Genomic DNA, 11,594 nt, shown 5'->3' on the forward strand with positions numbered 1-11,594 from the left:
ATGGCTCACTACAGCCTCAACATTCCAGGCTCAATAGATCCTCCCACCTCAGTCTCCAGAGTACTTGGGACTACAAGTGTGAACCACAACACTCAGCTAATTTTTAAATTTTTGTACAGATGGGGCTCCACTATGTTGTCCAAGCTGGTCACAAACTCCTAGGCTCAAGCAGTCCTCCCACCTTAGCCACTGAAAGTGCTGGGATTACAGGCACGAGCCGCTGGGATTTCAGGCATGAACCACTGTGCCTGGCCAGCTTTTTCTTTAAGACTGAAAAAAAGATGTGTGTCATATTATCACTTCTATTCAATATTGTATTAGAGGTCTTATCCAAGGAAATAAAGAATGATAATTCTTACAGATTGTGTTTATCTGTTTGCATTACTATAAAGGAATACCTGAGACTGGATAATTTATAAAGAAAAAGTTTTAATTAACTCACTGGTCTGTATGATGTACAGAAAGTATGGCACTGGCATCTATTTCTGGTGAGGGCCTCAGGAATCTTATAATCATGGTGGAAAGTGAAGGGAGAGCAGGTGTCCCACACGGTGAAAGAAGGAACAAGGCAAGGGGAGGTCCCATACTTTTAAACAACCAGATCTTGCATGAACTCAGTGAGAACTCACTTATCATCAAGAGCATGGTGCTAAACCACGAGGCATCCACCCCTGTAATCCAATCACCTCCCACCAGACCCACTTCCAACTTTGGGAATCACATCTCAACATGAGAGTTGAAGGGGACAAAATCCATACAATATCACAGATATTAGAAGGAATAAAACTTTCAGTTATAATATGCAAATTTCACAAATTATATACTTACGTTTAAAAATCCCGAGTATTTACAAATAAAATATTAGATTCATGTCAAAATTTAGCTATGTTGCAGGATTTTAGATCTCTATTAGATATGAGTTATTATTTACATATAGTAGTAATAGTTGGAAATTAAAAACAAAACTACTTAAAATAGCATCAAAATATTTTGTGCCTCTGAATAAATCTAAGAAAATATGCGCAAGGCATAGAAGAAGAAAACTATATAACTACTTAAAGATACTCCAGAAAACCAACATAAATGGGGAAATATACCATGTTCATGAATTTAAAAACTCAAGATGTCAATTTACAAAAAATGAAAATACAGGTACATTGCAATCTCTGTGAAATCTCTATAGGGTTTTGGAGGGTGGATGAAGAGACTTGATATGCTGATTTTATAATTTTTATAGGAATACAATGTTTTTAGTCTAGCCCAGATGTTCTGAAAGAACATATATTAAGAAAACTTTACCAGATGGAAATATTTATTACATACCTAACGTTACTACTTTAAATATTAGGTAATTACATACCTAGTATAGGTATTACATACCTAAAGTAGTAACTTTAGTAATAAATAAAGTTACTACTTAAGGTATGTAATAAATCAAAGTAAACCCACAATTAGATACCATTAAAGTAGTATAGGGTTATACTACTTTAAGGTTAGACAAAACTGAGAGTTGGCAACATTTGGCTCACAGGCAAGGCACCCCTTTTTTAAAAGTAAAGCTTTATTGGAACATAGCCATGTCCATTCATTTATGTCTTGTCTGTGGCTGCTTCTATACTACACCAGGTTGCAACAAAGACTGTATGGCCCACAGTGTAAAATCTTTGCTATCTGACCTATTAAGAAGGGTCAAGAACAATTAAGATGTTCCTTGCACAAGAATAATAAAGCAAACTAAAAAGCCAGTATCATGTACATATAAAATGTTGATATATGAAAAAGAAAGAACTGCAGAGCAGTTAGGAAAGGTCGGAAATCAAGGACCACTACTTCACACTAGTAACACATAGATACACACACACAGACACACAGACACACACACACACAGCAATTCTGCACAGCTCATATAATCAATAAAACTCCCTCTATTTGTTAAAAAAAAAAGTAGGTAAACTTGACCACATTAAGAGTATGAATTTCAGCAATATTTTTAAGAAGTGAAAAATGAGCTATATAGTGGGAAAGGTATTTTCAATACACATAACTGCTAAAGGCAATACATTTATAATATTTTTGAGTTAAAATATATTAGAAATAGATAACAGGGACATTTGCAGGAAAGAAATAATAAAAGGAAGAAAAAAGAAAGGAGAAAAGGATGGAGGAAGGGAAAAAGGGAATGAGGAAGATAGAAAAGTAGGAACACATAAAGATTGTATCAGAAAAGAGGACACACACACATATGTATAGCCAAATGTTAAAAAAGATAAGCATAATTAGTAATTTATGAATGCAAAGTAAACCCACAATTAGACTGTATTAGTCCGTTCTCATGCTGCTGTGAAGAAATACCTGAGACCGGGTAATTTATAAAGAGAAGAGGTTTGACTCACAGTTGCGCATGGTTGGGGAGACCTCAGGAAACTTATAATCATGGTGGAAGGCAACTCTTCACAGGGTGGCAAGAGAGAATATGAGAGCCAAGAAAAGGCGGAAGCCCCTTATAACCATTGGATCTTCTGAGAACTTACTCACTCTCACGACAATAGCATGCGGGAAACCGCCCCCATGATTCAATTACCTTGCACCAGGTCCCTCCCATGACAGGAGGGGATTATGGGAACCACAATTCAAGATGAGATTTGGGTAGAGACACAACCAAACTATATAATAGATACCACTAAAAATTAAAATTTAAACAAATATAAAATCTGACAATACGAAGATGGAAAAGATTTGGAGCAACCAGAACTTATAGTGACAGTGAAAATATAAATAAGCCAGAAGAGTTATAGTTTGGCTTTGAAAGCCAAAACAAACATCAGCAGAAAACACACAAAGGGTGTTATTTTATACAACTGAAAATTCATATACTCTCAGATTCAGCAATTCTACCCTAAACATCTATTCTGCAGAGCCATGCTTATTTTCACCAAGATATATTTACAAGTATGTTTATGGTAAATAAAACTAAATCAAACCCAAAATAAGATCAAGAATAAAATGAAAAAATAATAATGCATTCATACAAGAAAATATCCAACCACAAAAAAGACAAAAACTATATTTACAAAAAAATCTTGGGTAAATTTTTTAAATGTTATGCTGAGTATAAGAAGAGAGAAAAAAATTAATACTAACTGAATATTTTAATTCTTATAAAATAAAAATCAGGAAAAACAAAAGTACAGAGAGGTTATGTGGATGCTTGCTTTGCAAATTGGTAATGCTACATGGGTACATTTTATACACACTCAGTGGACAATATGTAAAAATTTTAAAAGTTTAAAAACTAAAACAACATTTTCAGGAGAAAAAAATGGCAAAAGACATCACAGGCAATTTACTAAAGAGGAAATCAGACGACAAACATATGAAAGGATACTACAACATCGCTAATAGAGAAATTCAAATTAGAACTAGAATTAGCTGCACGCCTGTCTGAGATGCAAGATTTAAAGTCTGATAACTTATTTGTTTTACTAGTGCTGAACATAACATGTGGAAAATATGTCATTTATACTGGTCTTCATAATGTAATTTGATAAAACTATTTTGGAGATCAATTTGATTTGAAAGTTTTGAGACTGTGCATACTTTGGAATTCAGTAATTCCACTTCAAAAAAATCTACCCTCAGAAAATATTTGTTATAGATGGACAAGAAGACAAGCATATGAATGTTTACTGTAGCATTCTTAACCATGTGAGAAGATATGCAAACAATGCAACCATCTATCAGCAGTCGTATGGAATAATAAATTCACAAGTATCTATTCAGCAGAAGAGTATTTCAATCTAAAATCAATAAACCAACTCTATGTATACTGCTATAAATTCATTTCAAAAACATAATGTGGAATAAGAATGACTGCAAAATATTTACAATATGATAGGCAAACACATTCCTTCTAATAGTATGGGTGGGAGTTTAAATGAAGAGTTACAGATGAGTAGGTTGCTTTATTTTACCAATGAATTAAGAGAATTTCTCAACTCAAAATAAGGAGAAGACAACATTCAGGGCTTGTTAATATAAGAATAGGAATGAAATAGTCCTTTTGGAAAGTGGAAGAGAGAATTTTTTCAGGGAACTGTAGCATTTTTGCCAGGTGATGCTGAGTTTCCCCTTGAAATGTATGGTAACAATTTAAATGGAGTCCAGTCAAGAGACATAAAGTTTTTCAACAGCCTTGTTTAGCTGCTAGTGTTAGAATACAGAGAAGGTACAAATGTTGCATAGTTGGGGTTTCTCATGACATGTTATTCTTGTATTATTTTTGGGTAAGTCCTTTTGGTCATTATAGATGTGTGTGTGTGTGTGTGTGTGTGTGTGTGTGTAGTATTTTGCATTTTTCCGGTTTATAACATTCAATGTAGAATTTTTTTCATATAAGTTAGTAACTAATTTGTTTTTCTATTTTATACTATCTGCTTTTGGCATTGCAGTAGTGCCAACGGTTGAATTTTTAAAACAGACTCAGGTAAGTAGTCATACAGGTAGAGAACCTACCTGTATGTATCAGCCATTGTTCATTCAGCTGAGTCGCATAAGTCCATACATTCCAGGTTTATTTGCAATAACATATCTAAACATACAAAGCACATCCTTACATAACAATTTCCTAGGTCATGTGATTGCCAAAAAATTGCATTGGAGTGTTATCAAGAAGGTTAGGAAGAGGTGGAAAATGCCATTAACTCTTCACTTCCAAGCATCACCGTTGTATTACTGTCATAAAAGTAATGGGATAGTATTACAACAGGTTTTTTTCTTTTTGTTTTTTATGACATATTATAAGAAGTACTGTTGCTTGAAAGTTTGGTAAAACACATTTAAATATATCTGGGACTAATGATTTTTTTCTCACTTCACCCTAACTCAGTCATTTTGTTTTTGTTATTTTTTTCACTACTGATTTATTTTTACTTTAAAGTTGTATGTATGTTTTCTAATTTTTCTTGAGTCTTACATTCACAGATTAGTAGAAAATTGTAAATTCCATGATTTATACAGTGTTCTCTCCCATACTTCTTAGTTCTGAACAAACACATTCTGTCCAATTATGAGAATGAAATCCTAGACCCCTTGAAGTGGAGCACATATAAGTGTCAAAATCCTTATTGGGTAGTATAGTGTCAGTTTTTGCTTATTCTGATTTTCCTTGTGTTTCCATTTATTTCTGGCATCTTGACGGTTTTGTTTTTTTTTTTTCTTGCAAGCTCAGTGCCACATTAGTACTTTTTGGAGAGTTATATTAATTCAGCCTGTGCTTTTGTAATAGAAAAGCACTTAACTTTCCTCACTTAACTTCCTGGACACAATTCACTTCTAGTGATTCGCCTACCTCACTGACCACTTCTTCGTGATTCTCTTTATTGATTACTTTTCCTTACTCCTTCCCCTTTCTATATATCAAGCTTCTAAATAAAACTCAGTTCCGTGCTTTACATAGCATGTTTCCTGATTTTTTTTCTCAATTTTTTCTCAGGTTCTGTCCTGCACCTCCTGCAGTCACCAGACTCTATATTCACCTTTTTACTTGCCATCTGGCCTCTTTTATTAAGAGCCGTATTAAACTGACACATCCTAAACAACCTTTTTTGGTTCTACCTGTCCCAGTCTGCTACTATCAAATGGCAGTACCATTCACTCAGTTGCCCAGGACAAAAACCTAAGGGAGACATATTTTACTTCTTTCCTATTTTTCCTGTATCCTCTGAAAACTTAACTTCAGAACATTTCTTAGGGTAATTTTGCTTCTTCTTCATCTCTCCTCTATACCCTTACCTCACTTCCCTTCGCTCATTACCTTCCAGTCACACTGGCATTTTTAGGTTTTCTAACAAGACAATCACAGTCCTCTGCTTAGCACCCACTGCCCTTTAACACCTTCATAAATCTGGCTATATCTGATTATTTAACTCTCTATTCTAACAACCACATCTGACTGCCCTATGTCAAATACTCCTCCACATATTCTATTATGTTGATGACTTTAAATAATAGAGGCTACATTATATTATTTGCTTTTATTATTATTTTTCTTTTTGTTTCTTTTACTTTAAGTTCTGGGATACATGCGCAGAATGTGCAGGTCTGTTACATAGGTGTATATGTGTCATGGTGGTTTGCTGCACCTATCAACTCTTCACCCAGGTTTTAAGCCCTGCATGCATTAGGTATTTGTCCTAATATTCTCCTTCCCCTTGCCCCCCACCCCTCGACAGGCCCCGGTGTGTGATGTTCCCCTCCCTATGTCCATGTGTTCTCATCGTTCAACTCTCACTTATGAGTGAGAACATGTGGTGTTTGCTTTTCTTTTTTATCCTATTACTTTTAAATTATTTTTCCCCTTAGTGAAACCAGCCTCATTGTCTGACGTGTCACCTGAAGTTCTTGGTCTCACAGCCAAGGACACTAAGGACAAGGACACTCCAAACATGAGGATAGAGCAGTTTAATAAGCGAAAGGAAGAAGGCTCTCTGGAGCAGAGAGGGGTCCCAGAAAGATGGGCTGCTATTTTACAGTGACATGCAAGGGCATTTATAGACAAGCTGAAGGGGAGTGGCGCTTCATTTGCATAAGGCACAAATTTCTGAGTTCCCACCTCCACCCTTTCTGGTGCCCATGCGGGCTTCTTAGCCTGAATTACTCCATGTTGTTTACCTCTTCTTGCTGCACATGTGTAAAAAAGGCGGGGGGCAGAACACTCCAAGGTGGATGTGCCTGGTTCAGGGTAGCTCTTCTTATCAGTGCTGCTGCAGGCACTCCCCCTGCACAAGCCTCCTTGTCTGAGTATTTCCAAGAAGGGAGGGGACTGTGCTTACTGGAGCCCACTGTATATCTGTATGTCACACAGGAGGCCCCTTTCTGTGTTAGAGCTTGCCTTCGCTATCTGTGTTTGCAGCCTAATATCTAAGGCTGCTCTTTGCTGAAGGAGAAATGACCTCTTGGGCTGCTTTTTGTCAGAAGAGAGGCTGTTTTTTGTTAGAAAAGAATTTTACTGTAACTATCTGCCTAGTTGATTTCTCTCTCTCTCCTCTCACATTCCCCCTTCAGGAGGGGAGACCCTGACTTCTGTTAGGGAGTTTGGGCAATGACTCATCTAGCTACTTCCTGCTGGAGAGGATCGCTGAGTGGGGAAACAGCAGCTAGGGTTCCTCCTGAGGTCGATCTAGAGGTCCTAGGTAGGATGGAGTGTCCACGTGTGGCTCCATTTGTAACACCATTTAGAGTCTGATAGCTTCTAGCCAAGGAGAGATGAATCTGGTTAGAAGGTTTAACAAACATGGTCCAAAAATTAAAACTAGTACAATCATTAATAGCGGGCCTGACAAAAAAAGGAGCCATGATCCTCAATTCAGCCATTTAGACCAAGAGCCCCATGACTCAGACTGCCGTTGTCATATCTTAGAGGCCCAGTCTGCTAATTTTTGGGTGGCAACCCTTACTATCCCTGATTGGTTGAAACAGTATTGTTACTCTAGAAAGAGGCATAGGCCACCCTTTTCAGCAGTTAGGAGGTCTAGTCCCTTCCTGTTTTATAGAGTGACTGCTGCCATGAAATCTATTTGATTTTGTATAGCATTAATGGTTCAGGCAATGTCCTTTACACTTTCTGTAAAATCTTTGGACAAGTCTTGATAGTAGGGTAGAGAGGTTGCAAATCCTCCAACTCCTGTCCCTACACTTGCTGCGATTCCTAATCCTACCAAAAGGGGTATGAACTGGATAGCTTGTTTATGCTAAGGGATTGGTTGTTGGGGGCTATATTAATTTCAGGAGCTAGGTAAACAAGCATACAGTTTCCAGTCCAGTTGGCTGGTAAACATAAGTAGGAGTTGGTTCTGCACAGAAAGAAGACTCTCTTGTTTTTCAAGGCAGAAATTATTTTCTGTGGAGAATATATAGGTTAGTTTGCAATTTTAATTTTCCAAGGTGGTTAGGGTTCCTGCCAAGGTGGCCCCAGTTAAAGGTTGGAAAGGACCCTGGGAAATATCCTGTTTTACCCCAACAGTTTTGTTTTCCCAGTGTAGGTAGTTGCATTTGATATCCACCAGCAGCCACTCAGAAGTTTCTTCATACTGGGGAACTAACAGGCACTAAGATACCTCAGCGGTTGTACAATCTTCCCAAGGGAAAATGTGAACACAACTAGTGAGTCTATTTATACAATACCCAGATTGCACACCCCTCAAAGTCCCCTTATTTATGGATGGTCTCCCTGAGGATTGTACAGGTCTTCTAAATGGTGCCGTTTGGGAAAACATGTAGTTTACATGATCATGCGAGGGGTTAATCTCTAGGGTTTAGTTGCTTTGATGTCCTCTTAAGGTCCCCAGGTCCTGACAAAAATGTTGGCTTCTCATAATACAAAGTGGTGCTTGAAACTTTATTTCTGTGTATGTTGATATTGGGCCCCAAATGGGTTTTGGGGGGGATACAACCCTAGAAACTTTACCTTGATAGGACTGGAGAAGGTTTACTGCTTGACCTGTTAGTGTGACCCTTGTCATCTCATTAATCTGAAAGTTATACAAATTATTCAAGTTCATTACCATAAAGGGGACTTCCCCCTTGTATTTGGGGTAATAGGTCATCTTATTAAGTGCACAATATCTGGCTGGGACTGGGATGGCCGTGTATTGAGATGAGGATGATAGACAAAGCCAGCAGTCCCTTGCCAAAGTTTGGTTGGTGGTGTTTAACAACTTCTGTGCTAGATTTAAAGTCTTTAAAAGGTACCCTTAATTTATTAATTGTTGGAGGGGTACAGCAAAACCTGGTAGCATGATGAGGCTAATTCCTAATATATACAGGCTGTGGGTGGCCATCTTGAGAAAGATAAAGACCCTCTATAAAAAAGACAACTAAACAATATACTACAGCAATAGAGGCTCTCTGTCCAAAACTCCACTCAGAGGGTGCTACAGTGCATAGTCCTATTGCAAATAGCATTGTAAGTATAGCAATTCCCACAAATGTGGCATAGTAAATAATTTCCATCTAAAATTTTACTCACCAGGATATAGAATTTCCCTTTAGAGATCTACGAAGTAATTTTGAGAGGAAAGGCAGAAATGACAGAATGTATCTGGTATTTGCTTATCTTTGGTGATTTTCAATTTAAGATTTCCTATTTCTTCACAGTGATATTCAGAGCATTCTTCTGGATTGTCTGGGGCTTCTCCCACAGTCTTCCAGGCTCTGACTCAAGTGTGATGAATCCAAGAGTCACTTCCTGCAACTTTTACCACCAAGGGGGTGGAGAGAAAAGAGTATAAGGTCCTTCCCAAATAGGGTCTAGAGAAGGGAAAAGAGAAGGGAGAGCCTTCACCAGTACTAAGTCTCCTGGATTAAATAAAGGTGGTCCTATTTCCTGCAACTTGGCCTCTGTTAGCTGTGTCAACTCCTGTTGAAAGTGGGTCAGGGAAGCTATATGTTTGACCAATTCAGAGGTGTCCTGATCTAATAGGAATCACTGGTAAGAAAAGGTCACCCATACAACATTTCCAAAGGAGTTAAACCTAAATTTGAAGGGATATTTCTTATTTGTAATGGGCCATGGGAAAGAGAGTAGTCCAGGGTAGGTGAGTCTCTTGAGATAACTTTCTGAGGTGTCTTTTGATAATGTCATTAGTTTTTTCTACCTTTCCCGAGGACTGGGGTCTCCAGGCACAATGGAGATGATAGCATAAGCCCAGTGCCTTTGAGACACTCTGAGCAACAGCTGCTTTAAATGAGGAGCCGTTGTCACTTTGGAGGTATTTAGGGAGTCTAAAATGGGGAATTATTTCACTGATTAATACTCGTACTACCTTGGAGACCCTCTCTGTTCGACATGGAAATGCTTCCACCCAGTTAGTGAAGGTATCCATTCACATCAGGAGGTAGTGAGTGCCCCTTGATTTTGGCATATGGACGAAGTCTATTTGCTAGTCCTCCCCTGGATAACTTACCATTCTCTGAGCTGGAGGTGGGAGAAGCTGTCTGTTGAGGGTGTCGTTCTTAAGACTTGACTTCACAAGCATTAACAACCTGCTTAACCTGTTTTTAGTAGGTTCTCCCCTGAGAATAATCTTTGGACTCATTGACAAGTTTTATCCTTCCCTAGATGAAAAGTTTGGTGAAGGGTTTTTAGGATCTTCCACTGGTTGGGGGCTGGCAAGTGGAGTTTGCCATCCTCTGACTGCACCCATCCTAAGGACTGGAAATTGCATCCCTGAAAAGTGGCCCATTCTCTTTCTGCACGGGAATACTGAGGCTTCATTTCCCTCATGGAGCCTTCCCAGATTATAGGGGCTTCAAGGGTGTTGGCACCCTGAGGCTTTTGTGCTGTTGACTTGGCTGCCTGGTTGGCTAACTTGTTTCCCTCAGCTATTCCATCCGTTCCTTTTTGATATCCTTTACAATGCATTACTGCTACTTCTCATGGAGGGAAAACTGAGGATAACAGCCTGTTAATTTCCTGATCGTATTTTAACGGAGACCCATTAGCAGTGAGAAAGTGTCTCTCCTTCCAAATGTTGGCATGAGCACTGAGGATAAGAAAGGCATATTTGGAATCTGTATAAATGTTAGCTGCTTTTCCTTTGCTTAATTCAAGAGCCCTTGCAAGAGCTATCAGCTCAGCTAATGGGACACCTGTGTCTGGTGAGAGAGACGTGCTTTCAATGATACTATTCAGGGTGACTACTGTGTACCCTGTCTTATGGACTCCCTGTTCCACAAAGGAGCTCTATCTGTAAAGACGGTCCAGTCTGGATTTTCTAGGGGAGTTTCCCTGAGATCTTCCCTGGCTGCATAGGTTTGTATTATAACTTGCTCCCAGTCATGTTCAGGTCCCCCAGTTTCCTCTGGGAGGGAGGTGGTTGGATTCAAGTTTTTAGTTGGACTGCAGATCCCTCTAGTAGTAGAGCCTGGTATTTAAGGAGGTGGCTGTCTCTTAGCCAAAGGCCTCCTCTAGAGGACAGCAATCCTAACACAATATGTGGATATAAACAGGCTATTCCCCAGGGTTAATTTGGTGGCTTCTGGCACCAGTAGGGCCACTGTTGCAACTTCTTGGAGACAGACTAGATATGCTTTAGCCACCAGGTCCAGTTCCTTACTTAGGTAACCCACTGGCTGTTTACCTGGTCCACAGGTCTGAGTTAAAACCCCCAGGGCCATTCCCTTTCTTTCTGACACATAAAGACTGAATGTCTTCCCTATCGGAAGGCTAAGGGCTGGTGCCTCAAGCAGGGCTTGTTTTAACAGGTTAAAGTCTCTTTTTGCCTCCAGATCCCAAATCAAGGAATGAGTCTTGCTGCCTGAGTTTCCTTTATTAGTTGGTATGAGGGACGGCCATACCTGGGGAAAAATCCTGTAATGCCCCAAAATCCTCTTAGCTACTTGAGGGTTTTAGGGAGGGGGAAAGACGAAATGGGCTTAACTCTTTCTTCTCCCAATTCTCTGGTTCCCTCAGATAATACGGAACCCAGGTACTTCACTGAGGTTTGGCAAAGCTGCGCCTTGAATTTTGAAACTTTATATCCCCTATTAGCTAAGAAATGGAGAAGGGCCTCAGTGTCTTCCTGAGAAAAAGGCAT

General features: G+C 38.9%; 1 annotated feature.

Annotated features, from left to right (window-relative positions):
• Window positions 8,689-9,888: an enhancer, noted in NCBI's record as "P300/CBP strongly-dependent group 1 enhancer chr11:97836500-97837699 (GRCh37/hg19 assembly coordinates)". NCBI's record gives its function as "activates an origin of replication core promoter dependent on BRD2, BRD4, P300/CBP, MED14 and CDK7 cofactors, with strong dependence on P300/CBP, by STARR-seq in HCT116 cells {active_cell/tissue: HCT116}" and the evidence as "EXISTENCE:reporter gene assay evidence [ECO:0000049][PMID:35650434]".

The sequence above is a fragment of the Homo sapiens genome, chromosome 11 (genome assembly GCF_000001405.40).
Source record: "Homo sapiens chromosome 11, GRCh38.p14 Primary Assembly".
In the NCBI taxonomy this organism is placed as follows: Eukaryota; Metazoa; Chordata; class Mammalia; order Primates; family Hominidae; genus Homo; species Homo sapiens.